General features: G+C 37.8%; 1 protein-coding gene across 14 annotated transcripts in view, besides 1 other annotated feature; it reads right to left on the bottom strand.

Moving 5' to 3' along the window:
• Positions 1 to 20375, bottom strand: part of EPHA6 (EPH receptor A6) — a 946939-nt gene that overhangs the window by 863097 nt on the left and 63467 nt on the right. The window lies entirely within an intron of this gene.
• Positions 9739 to 10938: an enhancer, noted in NCBI's record as "MED14-independent group 3 enhancer chr3:96606342-96607541 (GRCh37/hg19 assembly coordinates)". NCBI's record gives its function as "activates an origin of replication core promoter dependent on BRD2, BRD4, P300/CBP and CDK7 cofactors, and independent of MED14, by STARR-seq in HCT116 cells {active_cell/tissue: HCT116}" and the evidence as "EXISTENCE:reporter gene assay evidence [ECO:0000049][PMID:35650434]".

Raw genomic sequence — 20375 nt, 5'->3', positions numbered from 1 at the left:
GGGCAGGAAGGTATTGCTGAGGTCGTAAAACTATCCTCCATTGTTTACGCTAAGACATATTTCTTCTATTCGCTATGTTTTCCCCATTTCAATGAAAATCTATTTCTGATCCTTAGCATGGTTCCTCATAATAATATTTAAGTCACACTGCAAATACTAGAAAGTAATTATATAGGTAGAGTTCACTGCTTTAATATTTTTCAAATAGTTTGGATAATGAGACAACATATGTAAATGTTGCCTTTCATTACCAGACATTGTCTCAGTTAAGGGTTAACTTTCAACTATGCATCACAGTTTTAATAGGTGTTTTCCATGTTCAGTAATATTTGCAACAAAACAGACAACTTCAACAACATTGATTTCTTAAAACTGAAGCAAATATTATAAAATCAATATTTTCTTTTTTCATTTTTAGGTTTTAAAATATTTAAGATTTAAAATTACGCAATGAGGGATAAAATATTTTGCCTTGATAACTCTCTGGCACTAAATAGCAGCGTTAACTAGTTCACCAATGAGGACTACTTCATTCCCTTATATTATACTTTCCATAATCAAAGGAAGGAATTGCCAAATTCATATATTCTGATAGGCCAAGATGTGCTGAAAATGTCTGTTACATCATTCACATTGTCAATCAACATACTCACAGATATTTAGAATTTTGCAATGCATCTAGAAAAAAATTTTACATAAAGTCACTAAATTGCACTTTAATTTTAGTTAGCACCTCTCCCTTTTTATTTTGCTGTTTTCTCTATATATGTAGCTGCATTCGACTTTCTGTTTATACTTGTTAACATCTGCTCAGGGACAAATGACACATTTAGTTTTATACAGAAGGAAGAGGCTGCAAAAGAGCATATTTTGAGGACATTAAATGAAGACTGCATTTCTAAACAGAGAGTGAATCTCTGAACAGACGACTCAGCCTAGGAATGAGAATACATAAAGATACATTTATGATTCAATAACAACCTCTCTTCTTCCTAAATGTAAACCTGAAAAGCCAGAAGAAAAGTATAGCTTGCTTCTTGACTTTATCCACTATGGTCAGGTGTTAGCACCTACCAAGATTTGCTTGCAAATAAATAAGAAAATGGGTTATACTTGTCATAAGAAGAAATTTGGTTTGCTAATAGACACATGGCAAGATCACTATATAGCATGAACAGCCTTGATAAACAGTATGTGTGTGTGTGTGTGTGTGTGTGTGTGTGTTTGTATATACACAGATATATAGATATATATGTGCATATGTATGTTTACCTGAAAAGTAGTATAAAATACATAAAATAAAAATATAATTGGCATGAAATTCCAATTGATGTTTGTACAAACACTTTGTTAAAGATGTATTAGCATGTATAGAGTCCTTAACAGTGAATTCTAATAAAATATATTTCTAAAGATCATACTATTTTTATTACAATAACACCAAACTATGTTTTCATAACAATTTTTCCTGAAATACTATAATAATATTTGGGAAAATAGCTGTTTTAATTTTGTGGTAACTTTTTTAAGAATTAAGGGCAGAAGTTTCTAAAAATTTAAACAGATGGCTTACACTATTCAACTTGAATGGATAAATGAAAAATTTGCAAAACCTAACAGGCATGTAAAAGGCCCTCTAACCAATAGGTAAGTGAAGAGTCTTGCTTTTTGTTATGTTGAATTTCCCATTAAGGTGATATCATAATTCCTTGCTTTGATGGCCCTTCCTTCCCAAGATAGGAAAATGATAAAATGTAGTAGAACTCAAAAATCAAAATTACATAGCCAGGATAAAAACAACATAAGAGCTCCTTAGAAGAAAAGTAACACCAATGCAACGTGATGGAGACCTGATGCCACAGGCTTGCTGAGACTTGTGGCTGGTGGTTTTAACTCTTACGGCAGGGCAAAGAACTAAAAATCATTAATGTGAGACTGAAGACAGGGACCAGGCTTACTGCTTGAATCCAGACTTTTTACACCATTTCATTGCCCACTTTAACAGAAGAAATGAAGTTAAAAAACAAGTAAACAAAGAAAGTGCTGTGCAGTCTGCAAACTTAGTTTGGCAATAAGGAATCAAACAGGCTGAAGAAATCCAGGTGAGGAAAGTAAGCAGATAAAACCAACATCAGAAACATAAAGTAAGCATAAATGAAAATTACATCCCTATGTAGTCTAAAAGGATTCACAAGTGTATTTAAGATGTTAATGTTATAAATGAAAGGAAAACCTCATTGATGAGAAGAATAAAATAAAGGCGGAGGACAGAGTAAAAAAGGCAAAAAGGAGAGGATAGCAAAAAATACTAGAAATGTATATATACTGTCACTGTCATGCATTGCTTAACAACGGGGATACATTCTGAGAAATGCATTGATAGGTGATTTCATCATTGTGCAAACATCATAAGAGTATACTTACACAAACCTGGATGATAAAGCCTACTTCACACATAGGCTACATGGTACAGCTTATTGCACCCAGGCTAAAAATAGGTACGTGGTCTTACTGTAAGATAAGATCATAATGAATTAGGTTACTCCTCAAATTCAATGATTGGTGTCCCTATAAGAAGCCTGTGTGAAGACACAGATATACACGGAGGAAAGATGGACATGTAAAGATGGCAGATCAAAGTAGAGCGATGCACCTATAAACCAGGGGATGCCCAGGATTACAGGCAAACACTAGAAGCTTTAATACTCTGGGCTATTGTAACACAACAGTAAATATTTTTGTGCCTAAACATAGAAATGGTACAACAACAACAACAAAAAACAGTATAAAAGATAAAAAGTAGCACACCTGTATAGGTCAATTACCATGAAGGGAGCTTGCAGAGCTGCAAGTTGCTCTGAGTGAGTCAGTGACTGCGTGGTGAGTGAATGTGAAGGCCTAAGACATTCCTGTAAGGTACTATAGACTTTATAAACTCTGTACACTTAGGCTACACTAAATTTATTTTAATTTTTTTCTTTCTCCAATAATAAATTAACTTTAGCTTACTGTAACATTTTTTGATTTACAGACTTTTAATTTTTTAAATGTTGGCCCTTTTATAAAAATATTACTTAAAATACAAACATGGGATAGCTGTTCAAAAATACTTTTTTCTTTACATCTTTATTCTACAACCTTTATTATTTTTTATTTTTTTAATTTTTTGTGAAAAACTAAGAAAAAAAAACAAGATTAGCTTAAGTCTGCACAGATTCAAGATCATCAATATCACTGTCTTCCACCTCCTTATCCTGTCCCACTGAAAGGTCTTCAGGGGCAAAAGCAGGCATGAAACTGCCATTTCGTATGATGGCAATGCCTTCTGGAATACTTTCTGAAGAACCTGCCTGAGGCTCTTCCAGAGGAGGTGTCACACTTTTCAGAAATTGTCCATGGTGGTTTGCTTGGTTTGTTTCTTCTATTCATCACAGATTTGCTTGTAAGTAGATAATACACCATGAACATTCTTCTCTATTAATGAAAACCTTTTGGTGTTGGGGGTCCATGTTTCCAAATTTTTAGGAAGCTTGTTGAGGTCTGCAAAAGCTTCTACTAAACACTTGTGAATTTTCTGGGGGTTCTCCTTTTTCTTTTCCTGCACTTTCCTTTGCTTTTGTTTCTTGTTCATCTATGCATTCCTATTCCACTCATCCTTAAGCAATTTCTCAGGAACCACCTATAAGAGGTCCTCAATGTCATCCTCATCCACGTCCACATTAAAGTTGTTTGCCATCTCAACCACAACCTTGTTGATGTTTGCATCATATACATTCTCGGTATGTCTTCTGAAATCACGGACAAACTCGATTGTCTTCTTCCCTATGCCATTCATACCTTCTTTGCTGACATTATCTCAAGCCCAAGCAAGGTTCTTCATGCAGTCATCCTTCCAGAATTGAAACAGTGTTTTCTCGGTGTATTCCTTGGTTGTAGCAATAGCATGGACAAAGATCCTCCTAAATTGCAGGCCTTAAAAGCTGCTGTAATCCATGATCCATTGGTTGGATCAGAGAGTTGTCTGGAGAGAGACACATGATTTTGTTATTGAAATGAAGATCACCAATAAAAGGAGGATATGCAGGAGCATTATCAATAATAAGCAAAAAATTTAAAAGTATGTTATTCTTCAAACAGTATCTCTCCATTTCACTGGCATAGCAGCAACTCAGAAGGGCATCTTGAAAGAGAAGGTGGGTCATCGATGAGTTCTTATTGTTCTTGTAACACATTGGCAGTGTGTTCTTACTGACATACTTGAAGACCCTGAGGTGTTTTCTGTGCCAGATCACAAATGAATTCAATATGTAGCCCATAACACTGCCCCTAAGCAAGACTGTTGTTCTGTCCTTAAAAGTCTTGAAACTTAGCATTGACTTGACCTCATTTTGGATGAAAGTCCTTCCAGGCATCTGTTTCCAGAATAGAGACGTTTCATCCATATTGGAGATTTTCTATGACAAGTAATTTTCCTCCACAATCAGCTTATCTAGAGTTTCTAAAAATTCTTCAGCTGTCTTCACATCAGCATTCATAGACTTACCATCACTTTTCCATCATGTAATGAACATCAATTCTTGAATCATTTAAACAACCCAGAGCTAGCAGTAAATTCAGCATCATAGACAGGTCAAACCTTTGCTTTCAACATAGCAAACAATCTTTTTGCTTTAGTCATAACTGTCATGGTGCTGAGAAGGCTAGACTTCTGTGTCTGGTCTTCATGCTAGATCACTGCAAGTTTCTCCGTATCTGATACAGGCCCTTCTCCAATTCTTGTTAGTTTTGCTGCTTTCAATGAGCAGATACTTTAACAACTCCTATTACTTTGTTCTTGTCATTCAAGATCATAGCTATGGTGGAATGGGACACGCCTGACTGGTGTGCAATAATCATCATTAATTTCCCACCTAAATAATCCTTAATCACTTTTGACTTTGTTTCCAGGTTGGTCACTCCACATGGCCTCTTACTGAGAATATTAGGTATGGATTTTATATGGTTGGGGTCATAATGAATAAAACAACACAAAATTAAATCGATGCAAGATAAAATGATGTAATCAAGAGACACAATAAACATGAGATGCAAGGCATCTGTCCACATAACATGATACACTGTTTTACAGTAAACTTTTTTATAAGTAGAAATAATGATGAAGAGGGTAGTATAGTAAATACATAAACCAGTAACACAGTCATTTATAATGTTCAAGTATTATGTACTGTACATAATAATATGCACTATACTTTTATATGACTAGCAGCGCAGTAGGTTTGTTTACATCAGCATCACCACAAATACAGGAGTAATGCATTGTGCTATGATGTTATGATAGCTACAACGTCACAGGCAAGAGGAATTTTTCAGCTCGATTATAATCTTACGGGACCATCATCACATGTATGTGGTTTTGTGGCACATGACTTTGCGCGCGCACACACACACACACGAACACACACACACACACACACACACACATATATATATATATAAGTTGGAATCAGGCTAGGCTAAACACTAGACTAGATAAAAAGTGACTAATAAACTGGAATATACATAGACATATGTTACTGATAATTTATCCTTATTTACCTACAAGAAACAAAATAATTAAAAATTATGAAAGACTTGTTAAGAAATTCAAGGAACAGGTTAAAAGGTTTCAAACTTTATCTCATCCCATGAGAGAATGGAATGCATGAGCAGAAAATATTTATGAATTTTCTTGAAGAGAAAAAAAGCAACCACCAAGAAAACCTCATGAGTTCTAAAATTAAAAGTAGATTCCGAGATTTGGGCAGTCATTACACAGACAATAATACTCACCAATTATTCCTTGAATTTCCCTCCATATCTGAGTCCCGATGATATCACTAGTTCTGGTCAATGCAACAATAAGAAGTGATCTTTTGGCCAGGCGCAGTGATTCATGCCTGTAATCCCAGCACTTTGGGGGCTGAGGCAGGTGGATCACTTGAAGTCATGAGTTTGAGACCAGCCTGGCCAATACGGCGAAACTCTATCTCTATAAAAAGTACAAAAAAATTAACCAGGAGTGGTGGTAGACACCTGTAGTCCCAGCGACTCAGGAGGCTGAGGCAGGAGGATCTCTTGAACCCAGGAGGCAGAGGTTGCAGTGAGCCGAGATCACACCACTGTACTCCAGCCTGGGCGACAGAGCAAGACTCTGTCTCAAAACAAACAAACGAACAAAAAACCAAATAATGTTTCATAACTGGGCCCAAGCACAGAGAGGTGTGTGTGTATTCTCTGCCTCCTATGATGTGGTATCTCTCTATATGAAGTCAATGGCTGTAGTTTCTCAAGTCAAACATGAAACTGACCAAAGCCTACCAAGCTTTTAAAGAAAATGTTATTTACAAATAAATCATATATCTGCAATGAGTAAGTCTTTCCAACTCTAAAGCTGTCTGTGGGCCTCCAAAACTGCACCAATAGGCAATGTAACCTGTTCAACTGACAAGAATAACTCTCCAAGGACCACTTCAGCTGTGTTTATGGATGAGAAAAATATTTTCTCAAAAGCATAACCAGAAAACACAGACACAATTCAAAAGGGAGTTTCTCCCAGGGAACAGAACAAAGTATATGGCTAAATGTACAGATCGATAAATTTTTCTCAAATGGAACAGACCCATGTAGCTATCATCTATGTCAAAACAGCATATCACCAGCATTTATTTTTATTTTTATTTATTTATTTTGAGACAGTTCCACTCTTGTTGCCCATGCTGGAGTGCAGTGGTGCGATCTTGGCTCATTGAAACCTCCGCCTCCCGGGTTCAAGCAATTCTCTTGCCTCAGCCTCCCAAGTAGCTGGGATTACAGGAACCCGTCACCATACCCAGATAATTTTTGTATTTTTAGTAGAGACAGGGTTTCACCATGTTGAAGGCTGGTCTCGAACTCCTGACCTCAAGTGATCTGCCCATCTCGGTCTCCCAGAGTGTTTTACCAGCATTTTAAAAGCCTGATTTCTGGCCCCTTCCAGTCACCTTTATCGTGACCTCAAAGACTATAGATTAATTTTGCCTGTTTTGAATTTTACATACGTGGAATCACACTGTATGTGCTCTTTGGTTTCCAGTTTCTTTTGTTCAACAATATTTGTGGCATTCATCTATAGTGCTGTATAAAAACAGATTTTTTTTCAGTTTCTTTGCTTTATAGTATTTTTATGCCTAGACAACCATTTATTTATATATTTTACTGCTGATTGGCAGTTATGTCCACGTTTCTTTGTAAAGATGTATACACATTTCTACTGTGCATATATCTAGAGGTAGAATAGCCAGGTTGTAGCTATTGTTTGTTTGCTTGTTTGAGATGGAGTCTCTTTCACTCTGTCACCCAGGCTGGAGTGCAGTGGCACAAGTTCTCAGCTCACTGCAACCTCCACATCCCAGGAATAATTCTCCTGCCTCAACCTCTCAAGTAGCTGGGATTACAGGCATGTGCCACCATGCCTCGCTGATTTTTTCTATTTTTTGTAGAGACAGGGTTTCACCATGTTGGCCAGGCTGGCCTTGCACTCCTGACCTCAAGTGATCCACCTGCCTTGGCTTCCCAAAGTGCTGGGATTACAGGCATGAGCCACCACATCTGACTGGGAATGTGTGTATTAAGATTTAATAGATATTGCCAAATAGTTTCCCAAAGTAGTTATACCAATTTTCACACTCACTAGTGGTGTATGAGAGCTCTACTTGCCCCATATCCTCTTCGAAAATTGACATTTTATTTTGTTTTCAGTTTAGTCATTTTTTTATGTGCATATTGAAAATTCATTCTGTTCTAAATATTATTCCAATATATTCATGATAACAATTTTGGAACCAAAAAAAGAATAAAGAATTTTACAATGACAACCTTATATGTTCCACATAAATATTATATGTACCACATAAATATGATACTATTCTAGTATACATTTTTAAATAACATATCTATCAATCCTTCTAATCTTCAAGTTTTAATGCATTTTAAAGATTAAGTTCCTTTTCATATGTCTATTGACTATTTGGCCATTCTCACTTCTCAAATACTCACATAAGACTTTGGGTCCATTTTTTCTACCGTGTCATCTTCATCTGTCTTCTTGTTGGTTTGTGGGAGTTCTTTAAATATTCTGAATATAAATCCTTTTTAAAATAACTGTACTGCAAATATAGTCTTCCAACCTGTGTGTTGCCTTTTGCTGTTCTTACTGGTTTCTTTTAATGAATAAAAGCCTTTAATATTAATGTAGTTCAATATGTAATATCGTTTATATTTTTATGTTTTTTTTTTTATTTTGGGGGTTCGGTTTAATAAATATCTACCATTCAAAACTCATGAAATATTTTTAGCTTTATAATTGCATCTTTCAGATTTAGAGCTCTAGTTCATTTGGCATTGACTTTTGTGTATAAGGTATAAGAGGTCAATATATATATGTATTCCAATGTGGATATCCTGCAAGCCCCAGATTTATTGAAAAATGTTTTTCTCATATTATTGCAATACCATCTTGTAAATCAGGTCACTTAATAAATGGTGGGTCTGCTTTTAAATTTTCTAGTATTTCCTGCTAGTAAATTTGTCTATCCCTGCACCAATATTGTACTGGGGTATATACTATAGCATTATAATAAGTTTTCGTATTTTGTGGTGTAAATGCCTCAGTATTCTTCTTCTTTCAGATTTCCTTAGCTATTCTTTGAATTTGCATACAATTTTGGAAGTGACTGATATTGTTTGCCTCTGAGTCCTCACCCAAATCTCATCTTGAATTGTACTCACATAATTCCTACATGTTGTGGGAGGAACCTGGTGGGAGATAATTGAATCATTGAGGTGGTTTCCCCCATACTGTTCTCATGGTAGTGAATAAGACTCACAAGATTTGATGGTTTTATAAGGGGTTTCTGCTTTGATTTCTTATTCTCTCTTGCCACCACCATGTAAGAAGTGCCTTTCACGTTCCGCCCTGACTGTGAGGCCTCCTTAGCCACACAGAACTGTGACTCCAATAAACCTCTTTTTCTTCCCAGTCTCGGATACGTCTTTATTAGCAGTCGGAAAATGCACTAATACAGTAAATTGATACCTGTAGAGTGGGGTGTTGCTGAAAAGATACCCAAAAATGTGGAAGCAACTTCGGAATTGGGTAACAGGCACAGGTTGGAACAGTTTGGAGGGCTCAGAAGACAGGAAAATGTGAGAAACTTTGGAACTTCCTAGAGACTTGTTGAAAGGCTTTGTCCAAAATGTTGACAGTGATATGTACAGTAAAGTCCAGGCTGATATGGTCTCAGATGCAAATGAGGAACTTGTTGGGAACTAGAGCAAAGGTGATTCTTGTTATGTTTTAGCAAAGAGACTGGCCGCATTTTGCCCCGGATTTGTGGAACTTTGAACATGAGAGAGATGATTTAGGGTATCTGGCGGAAGAAATTTCCAAGCAGCAAAGCATTCAAGATGTGACTTGGGTGCTGTTAAAGGCATTCAGTTTTATGTGGGAAGCAGAGCATAAAAGTTCAAAAAATTTTTAGCCTGACAATGTGATAGAAAAGAAAATCCTGTTTTCTGAGGAGAAATCCAAGCCAGCTGTAGAAATTTGCATAAGTAACAAGGAGCTGAATATTAATCACCAAGACAACAGGGAAAATGTCTCCAGACCATGTCAGGGGTCTTTACAGCAGCTCCTCCCATCACAGGCCCAGAGGCCTAGAAAGAAAAAGTGGTTTCCTGGGCCAGGCCCAGGGTCCCTGGTGCTGTGTGCAGCCTATGGACCTGGTGCCCTGCATCCCAGCCACTCCAGGCATGGCTGAAAGAGTTCAACATAGAGCTCAGGCTGTGGCTTCAGAGGATGCAAGCACCGAGCCTTGGCAGCTTCCACGTGGTGTTGAGCCTGCCAGTGCACAGAAGTCAAGAATCCGGGTTTGGCCAGCAACCCCGAGAGGACCCACAGACCCTCTGAGGGAAGCAGACTGCTCCTGCAGGACCCAGGTGACCCCCAACTGTGGAAGTGGAAAAGGGAGACCCTCCTCTCCCCAACATACACCCCAACTGGTGAAGCTGAAGGTCTGTTTGTGGGAGAAGTTTCTGACTTTTTCTGGAGCTGAGTCAATTTGGAGAGCCGAGCGAAATACAGTGGTAGGGGAAGCAGTAGAAAGGCCCTGTGAGCTCGCTGGGTCGCCAAGCAGGCCATTCCTGCCTGGCACCACAGGGATTCAATGGGAGAGGAGCAGGGGGTAAAATTCCACAGGGAGAAGGAAAACGCTAGCTGAACCTTCTAGCAATCTAAATGGGGTGAGAAGCTTCCTGGCCAGAACTTGGGGGAGGGTGCAAATCCGGTGTGCAGACTCCACAGGTGGGGGAAGAGTCAAACCCTTTTCTTTCACAGCTGGGAGGTGGGTAGCCTGGGGCAGGTTTTCAAGCCCACATCACTCTCCACCTAGAAACAGACTGGGAGTTGTTGTGGGGGCACAGTGGGAGTGAGACAGGGGCCCTTTGGTTTGCGTGGGAGCTGGGTGAGGCTTGTGACTGCTGGCTTTCCCCCACTTCCCTGATAACCTGCATGACTCAGCAGAGGGAGCCATGATCCTCATAGGTAAACAACTCCAGGGACCTGGGAATCTCACCCCCATCCCCAACAGTAGCCACAGCAAGACTTGCCCAAGGAGAGTCTGAGCTCAATACACCTAGCCCCGCCCTGACCTGATGGTCCTTCCCTACCTACCCTGGTAGCAGAAAACAAAGGGCATATAATCCTGGGAGTTCTAGGGCCCTGCCCACCCTGGTTCCTCCTGATACCACCACAGCTGGTGCTCTCTGGAGAGCATAACCTCCCGGCAGGAGGCCAACCAGCACAAAAATAGAGCATTAAACCACCAAAGCTAGGAACCTTCAAGGAGTCCTGTTGCACCCCTGCTCCCTGGCCACCTCCACTGGAACAGGCACTGGTATTCACAGCTGAGACCCATAAATGGTTCACATCACAGGACCCTGTACAGGCAACACCACTACCAGCCTGGAGCCGGGTAGACTCACTGAGTGGCTAGACCCAGAAGAGAGAAGACAATCACTGCAGATCGGCTCACAGGAAACCACATCCATAGAAAAGGGGGAGAGCACTACATCAAGGGAACACCCCATGGGACAAAAGAATCTGAACAACAGCCTTCAGCCTTAGAACCTCCCTCTGACAGAGCCTACCCAAATGAGAAGGAACCAGAAAACCAACCCTAGTAATATGAAGAAACAAGGCTCTTCAACCTCGCCCCCCCAACCAAATCACACTAGTTCAGCAGCAAGGGATCCAAACCAAGAAGAAATCCCTGATTTACCTCAAAAAGAATTCAGGACGTTAGTCAATAAGCTAATCAGGGAGGGACCAGAGGAAGGCGAACCCCAATGCAATGAAATCCAAAATATGATACAAGAAGTTAAGGTAGAAATATTCAAGAAAATAGATAGTTTAAAGAAAAAACAAAAATTCAGGAAACTTTGGACACACTTTTAGAAATGCAAAATGCTCTGGAAAGTCTCAGCTCTTTTACCAAGAACTGGTAAAAGGAGCTCTAAATCTTGAAACAAATCCCAAAAACACATCAAAACAGAACATTTTTAAAGCATAGATCACATAGGACCTACAAAACAAAAATACAAGTTAAAAAGCAAAAACAAAAAACAAACAAAAAAACAGCAAACAGCATGAATGCAATGGATCCTCACATCTCAATACTAACATGGAATGTAAATGGCCTAAATGCTCCATTTATAAGATACAGAACCACAGAATGGATAAGAACTCACCAACCAACTATCTGCTGCCTTCAGGAGACTCACCTAGCATGTAAGAACTCACACAAACTTAAAGTATAAGGAGTGGAAAAAGGAATTTCATACAAATAGCCACCAGAAGCAAGTAAGGGTAGTTATTTTTGTATCAGACAAAACAAACTTTAAAGCAACAGCAGTTAAAAGAGACAAAGAGGGACATTATATAATGGTAAAAGGCCTTGTCCAAGAGGAAAATATCACAATCGTAAACATATACACACCTAACACTAGAGCTCCCAAATTTATAAAACAATTACTCATAGACCTAAGAAATGAGACAGATAGCAACACAATAATAGTGGGAGACTTCAATACTCCACTGACAGTGCTAGACAGGTCATCAAAACAGAAAGTCAACAAAGAAACAACGGACTTAAACTACACCTTGGAACAAATGGATTTAGCAGATACATACAGAATATTTCACCCAACAGCTGAAGAATACACATTCTATTCAACAGCACATGGAACTTTCTCCAAAACAGACTATATCAAGCACTCTCTCAAACCACAGTGGAATAAAACTGGAAATCAACTCCAAGAGGAACCATCAAAAACATGCAAATACACAGAAATTAAATAACCTGCTCCTGAATGATCATTGGGTCAAACAAGAAATCAAGATGGAAATTTAAAAATTCTTCAAACTGAACAACAATAATGACACAACCTATCAACACCTCTGGGATACAGCAAGGTGGTGCTAAGAGGAAAGTTCATAGCCCTAAATGCCTGTAACAAAAAGACTGAAGGAGCACAAACTGACACTCTAAGGTTACACCTCTAGGAACTAGAGAAACAAGAACAAACCAAACCCAAACCCAGTGGAAAAAGGGACGTAACAAAGATCAGGGCAAAACTAAATGAAATTGAAATTAAAAAAATTACAAAAGATAATGAAAAAAAACCCTGGTTCTTTTTAAAGATAAATAAAATTGATAGAGCACTGGCAAGATTAACCAAGAAAAGAAGAGAGAAAATCCAAATAACCTCACTAACAAATGAAACAGGAGATATCACAACTGACACCACAGAAATACAAAAGATCATTCAAGGCTATTATGAACACCATTACACACATAAACTGAAAACCTAGAAGAGATGGATAAATTCCTGGAAAAATACAACCCTCCTAGCTTAAATCAGGAAGAATTAGATACCACAAACAGACCAATAACAAGCAGCGAGATTGAAATGGTAATTTAAAAAATACCAACCAAAAAAAGTTCAGGACAAGAGGGATTTACAGCAGAATTCCACCAGACATTCAAAGAAGAATTGGTACCAATCCTTTCGACACTATCTTTGACAAGATAGAGAAAGAAGCCACCCTCCCTAATTCATTCGATGAAGCCAGCATCACCCTAATACCAAAACCAGGAAAGGACATAACCAAAAACAAAAACTACAGACCGATATCCTTGATGAACATACATCCTAAAGTCCTTAACAAACTACTAGCTAACCAAATCCAACAACATATCAAAAAGATAATCCACCATGATCATGTGGGTTTCATACCAGTGGTGGAGGGATGGTTTAACATACACAAGTCAATAAATGTGATACACCACATAAACAGAATTAAAAACAAAAATCGCATGATCATTTCAATAGATGCAGACCAAGCATTAGATAAAATCCAGCATCCCTTTATGATTAAAACTTTCAGCAAAATTGGCATACATGCAATATACCTTAACATAATAAAAGCCATCTATGACAAACCCACAGCCAACATAATACTGAATGGAGAAAAGTTGAAAGCATTCCCTCTGAGAACTGGAACAAGATAAGGATGCCCACTCTCACCACTCCTCTTCAACATAGTACTGGAACTCCTAGCTAGAGCAATCAGACAAGAAGGAAGAAATAAAGGGCATCCAAATCGGTAAAGAAGAAGTGAAACTGTCACTGTTTGCTGACAATATGATCGTTTACCTTGAAAACCCTAAGGACTCCTCCAGAAAGCTCCTAGAACTGATAAAAGAATCAGCAAAGTTCCTGGATACAAGATTAATGTACACAAGTCAGTAGCTCTTCCATATACCAACAGCGACTAAACAGAATCAAATCAAGAACTCAACTCCTTGTACAATAGCTGCAAAAAATAATAATAATAAAATACTCAGGAATATACCTAACCAAGGAGTCAAAAGACTTCTGCAAGGAAAGCTATAAAATGATGCTGAAAAACATCACAGATGACACAAATGAATGGAAACACATCCCGTGCTCATGGATGGGTAGAATCAATATTGTGAAAATGACCATGTTGCCAAAAGCAATCTACAAATCAATGCAATCCCCATCAAAAAACCACCATCATTCTTCAAAAAATTAGAAAAAACATTTCTAAAATTCATATGGAACCAAAAAAGAGCGCACATAGCCAAAGCAAGACTAAGCAAAAAGAACAAATCTAGAGGCATCACACTACCTAATTTCAAACTACACTGTAAGGCCATAGTCACCAAAACAGCATAGTACTGGCACAAAAACAGGCACATAGACCAATGGAACAGAATAGAGAATCCAGAAATAAATCCAAATACTTAAAAGCCAACTGATCTTCGAAAAGCAAACAAAAACATAAAATGGGGAAAGGACACCATTTTCACAAATGGTACTGGGCCTGTAATCCTAGCACTTTGGGGAGGACAAGGCAGGTGAATCATCTGAAGTCAGGAGTTCAAGACCAGCCTGGCCAACATGGTGAAACCCTGTCTCTACCAAAAAAATACAAAAAAATTAGCCAGGTGTGGTGGCGGGTACCTGTAATCTCAGCTGCTTGGGAGGCTGAGGCAGGGAGAATTACTTCAACCCAGGAGGTGGGAGGTTGCAGTCAGCCAAGATCATGCCACTTTACTCCAGCCTTGGTGACAGAGTGAGACTCTGTCTCAAAAATACAAAACCAAACCAAACAAAATGGTGTTGAGATAACTGGCTAGCCACATGTAGGAGAATGAAACTACATCCTCATCTCTCACCTTATACAAAAATCAACTCAAGATGCATTAAGGACTTAAACCTAAGACCTGAAACTATAAAAATTCTAGAAGATAACATTGGAAAAACCCTTCTAGACATTGGCTTAAGCAAGGATTTCATGACCATGAACCCAAAAGCAAATGCAATAAAAACAAAGATAAATAGCTGGGACCTAATTAAACTAAAGAGCTTTTGTATGGAAAAGGGAACAGTCAGCAGAGTAAACAACCTACAGACTGGAAGAAAATCTTCACAATCTATACATCTAACAAAGGACTAATATCCAGAATCTACAACAAACTTAAATCTGTAAGATAAACAATCCCATCAAAAAGTGGGCTAAGGACATGAATAGACAATTCTCAAAAGAAGATATACAAATGGCCAACAAACATATGAAAAAATGCTCAAAATTACTAATGATCAGGGAAATTTAAACCAAAACCACAATGTGATACCACCTTACTCCTGCAAGTATGGTCATAATCAAAAAATCAAAAAACAATAGATGTTGCCATGGATGCAGTGAACAGGGAACACTTCTACACTGCTGGTGGGAATACAAACTAGTACAATTGCTATGGAAAACAGTGTGGAGATTCTTTAAGAACTAAAAGTAGAACTATCATTTGATCCAGCAATCCCACTACTGGGTATCTACCCAGAGGAAAATAAGTCATTATTCAAAAAACATACTCGCACACGCATGTTTATAGCAGCACAATTCACAGCTGCAAACTCATAGAACCAACCCAAATACCCATCAATCAATGAGTGGATAAAGAAACTGTGAGATATATATCACATAGATTGATGATTGACTATACACACACACACACACACACACACACACACACACACACAGACACACAATGGAATACTACGAATCCTTAAAAAGGAATGAATTAACAGCATTATCAGTGACCTGGATGAGACTGGAGACTATTATTCTAAGTGAAGTAATGCAGGAATGGGAAACCAAACATCGTATGTTCTCACTGATACATGGGAGCAAAGCTATGAGGACACAAAGGCATAAGAATGACACAATGGATTTTGGGGACTTGGGGGGAATGGTGGGAGTGGTGAGAGGTGGGAAAGGGATAAAAGACTACAAATATGGTGTAGTGTATACTGCTCAGGTGATAGGTGCACCAAAATCTCACAAATCACCACTAAAGAACTTACTCATGCATGTAACCAAATACCACCTGTACCCCAATAACTTACGGAAAAATAAAATAAAAAACAGAATTAGGACTTAGGAACCTCTGCCTAGATTTCAGAAGATGTATGGAAACACCTGGATGTCCAGGCAGAAGTTTGCTGCAGGGGCAGGGCTCTCATGGAGAACCTCTGCTAAGGCAGTGTGGAAGGGAATCCAGCAGGGCAGTCAAATCTTAAAGTGCGGAAGGGAAATGTGGGGTCAGAGCCTCCACACAGAGTTCCTACAGGGGCACTGCCTAATGGAGCTGTAAGAAGAGGGCCACCATCCTCCAGATTCCAGAATGGCAGATCCACAGTAGAAAGACCATACACCTGGAAAAGCTGTAGACACTCAATGGCAGCCCATGAAAGCAGCCAAGAGGGAGGCTGTACCCCGCAAAGCCACAGGGGCAGAGCTGCCCAAGACCACAGGAACCCACCTCTTACATAAACATGACCTGGATGTGAGACATGGAGTCAAAGGAGATGATTTCGGAGCTTTAAGATTTGACTGCCCTGCTGGATTTTGGATTTGCATGGGGCCCGTAGCCCCTTTGTTTTGGCCAATTTCTCCCATTTGGAATGCCTGTATTTACCCAATGCCTGTACCCAGGAAGTAATTAACTTGTTTTTTATTTTACAGGCACATAGGCAGAAATTTGCCTTGTCTTGGATGAGACTTTGGACTCTGCACTTTTGAGTTAATGCTGAAATGAGTTAAGACTCTGGAAGACTTTTGGGAAGGCATGATTGGTTTTGAAGTGTGAAGACATGAGATTTGACAGGGGCCAGGGGCAGAATAATATGGTTTGGCTCTTTGTCCCAACCCAAATCTCACTGAATTGTACTCACATAATTCCCACCTGTTGTGGGAGGGACCTTGTGGGAGATAACTGAATCACGGAGTCAGTTTCCCCCATACGGTTCTCATGGTAGTGAATAAGTCTCAGGAGACCTGATAGTTTTTTAAGTGGTTTCTGCTTTGGCTTCTCTCTCATTCTCTGTTGCCACCACCATGTAAGAAGAGCCTTTCATCTTCCACCATGAATGTGAGGCTTCCCCAGCCAAGTGGAACTTTGACTACAATAAACCTATTTTTCTTCCTAGTCTTGGGTATGTCTTTAACAGCAGTGTGAAAGCAGACTAATACAATGATTTATCAATTTCTACATACATTAAAAAAAGAATAACCAAAGGGAAAATAACAAGCATTGGTGAGGATAGGGAGGAACTGGAACCCTCACACATTGCTGATGAGAACACAAAAATAGTTCAGCCACTATGGAAAACAGTTTGGTGGTTCCATGTAAAGCTAAACACAGAATTGGGATATGACCCAGAAATTCCTCTCCTAAGTATATATCCAAAATAACTGAAAGCAGGAACTCAAATAATGTACACACATGTTCACAGCAATACAATTAACAGTAACCAAAATGTGCACAAAGCCCAAATGTTCATTAATATATAAATGGATAAACGAACTGATATATACATACAATGTAATATTATTCAACTATAAAAAGGAAGTACTGACACATTATACAATGCAAATGAAACAAAACCACGCTAAGTAAAAGAAGCCAGACACAAAAAGGTCATATATTGTTCGATTCAATTTATATGAAATACACAGAATAGGTGAATCCACAGAGATAAAAAACAGATTAGTGTTTGCCAGCGCGTGAGGTGGGGGGAGGAAGAATGGGGTGCAACAGATTAATGGATATGGGGTGATGAAATATTTTCACTCTAAATAGAGGCAGTGGTTGTACAATATTGTGAATGTGCTAAATGATACTGAGTTGTTCACTTTAAAATGGTCAATTTTGTGATATGTTCATTTCAACTCAATTTTTTTTAAAAGGGGGGAAAATATTAGCTGAGGTGTTTCCTTTCATTACATTTACAGGGTACTGAGAAATTTGACTTGTATTTTAAACTGATTCTTCCAATACATGAACAGGTATATCTTTCAATTTCTATATGTCTTTATTTTCTTCAAAGGTTATTTGTAGTTTTCAATGCAATGTTCTCGCACATCTTTTCTTAGATTTGTGATACTTTAAGTATTTGTGGGTTTTTTAATTAACTTTATTTTGTTTTAAATTGACACATAATTATACATTATTTGTGGGGTACAGTGTGATGTTTTGATACATGTATACATTATGTAATAATCAAATCAAGGTATTTAGCAAATCCAATACTTCAAACATTTATCTTTTCTTTGAGGTGAGAACATTCAAAATTCTCTCTTATAGTTATTTTTTTAAATTTTTTATTATAATAGCTTTCGGAGTATAGGTGGTTATTGGTTACATGGATGAACTGTATAGTGGTGAAGTCTGGGCTTTTAGTGTAGAGGTCACCCAAATAGCGTACATTGTACCCAATAGGTAGTTTTTCATCCTTCACTGCCCCCTCCTATCCTCCTCGCTTCTGATGATATCATCTTATACCTAGAAAACCCTAAAGACTCCTCCAAAAGACTCTTGTATTTGATAAATGAATTCAGTAAAGTCTCAGGTTACAAAATCGAGTACACAAATTGGTAGCACTCTATGCACCAACAATGACCAAGCTGAGAATCAAATCAAGAACCCAATCCCTTTTATAATAGCTACAACAATGAAACAAAATTCCTAGGAATATACTTAACAAAGGAGGTGAAAGACCTCTACGAGAAGAACTACGAAATGCTGATGAAAGAAATCACAGATGACACAAACGGAAATCATTCCATGCTCATGGATGGGAAGAACCAGTATCATAAAAATAATCATACTGCCAAAAGCAATTCTAGTTCTTTTGAAATATGCAATATTATTGTAACCATAGTCACTCCACTGTGTAATAGGACACCAAAACTCTTTCCTCCTAACTCTAACTTTGTCCACATTGACCAATGTCTCTTTTTCCCTCCCCTGTACCTTCCCTATCCCCCACTAACTGCTATTCTACTCACTAATTCTATGAGATCAAATTCTCTAGACTCTGCACATGAGTTCATGCAGTAAAAGTGTGTGTTTTTGATGTGTTGAAAATGATATGTTATACATTTTTATTTTTTGTTTGTTTATGGTAGATAGAAATAAATTTGAATTCATATATTGATCTTGTATCCAGCATTATGTTCATAAATGTTATCCAAATTACGTTTATAAACAAAGGCAAAATGCTAGAAATGGATCTTTAGTGAAATAAAGAAATACAGTAACATTCATAGTTTCCCTCTGAAGTGTTTTATCTTCTTTTAAGATTTTCAGTGAAATAATGAAAACATAATCCTACAAAGTCTTAAACCTAATAATAGACAATATTTCAATTAAATTAGGCAGAATGTGGACACCATATTAAGTGTTCTGTATATTGCGTGAAATATATCTTTCTACAATAATTCTAATACTCAAAATAATAATCAATTTATTCAGTTTTCACTTAAGTGATATTTATTGATGGCAAACTTAGTGCTATCAACTAATGTTAAATATTGAGGATAAATCAGTAAAAGTATAGACAATATTTGTGAATATTCACTTTATATGTTTTTCACCATTCAACTTTTATTCCTTCTCTATGACAAAAGAATTAAAATTGGAGGCTTAGAGATTTCAAATCTTAAAAACCTATTCAAAACCATCATATAAATAGTAATTTGTAAGGAAGACGGCCTTGTTGGAATGATACAGATTGTATATCTAGATAGACATAACATAGCTGGGGGCTGTGTGATAATATTTAATGACATTAGCTCATAATAGCTTTTGTTGTCAAATGTACAATATTACATTCAAATATTCAACTTAATAGTCTGCATCTAGACTATTAAGTTCCTTGTGCTTGGGTTGAATTTTTCTAACTATTCTATCTGCATTCAATTACAGTAATCTTTTCAAAATGTTAATTTGCTTACTACTCTCTAATAAATTACACTGAAATTAGGATAATAATGGCATGCCTTAGCATCACTTACAAGGCCCTTTTATCTGTTTTTCCTTGACACCTCTCTTTCCTTCTCTTGCTTGCTCTCTCTTTCTCTCTCTCTCAATCTTTCTGTCTCCCCCTCTCTCTCTCTATTTTCCAGGCATATGGGCCTCCATTCATGTCTTCTAATGTGCCTTGCCAATTCTGTTCCCACTAGGGCTTATGGTCATCCAAACGATTAGTATAATGCTTATCAACAGAAAGAATACAAATTAACTATAATATGGTGGCTGTACATATTTATTTACTATGATATTTATAATGAATATGAGAATTTCTTATTTTCACTGGTAACCATAAATAAAATTCCTTCTAATGTGCACCAGAAAGCATTGCATTTA

Source organism: Homo sapiens, chromosome 3 (assembly GCF_000001405.40).
Source record: "Homo sapiens chromosome 3, GRCh38.p14 Primary Assembly".
Classification (NCBI taxonomy): Eukaryota; Metazoa; Chordata; class Mammalia; order Primates; family Hominidae; genus Homo; species Homo sapiens.
This window is presented reverse-complemented; position numbering and strand designations above follow the sequence as displayed.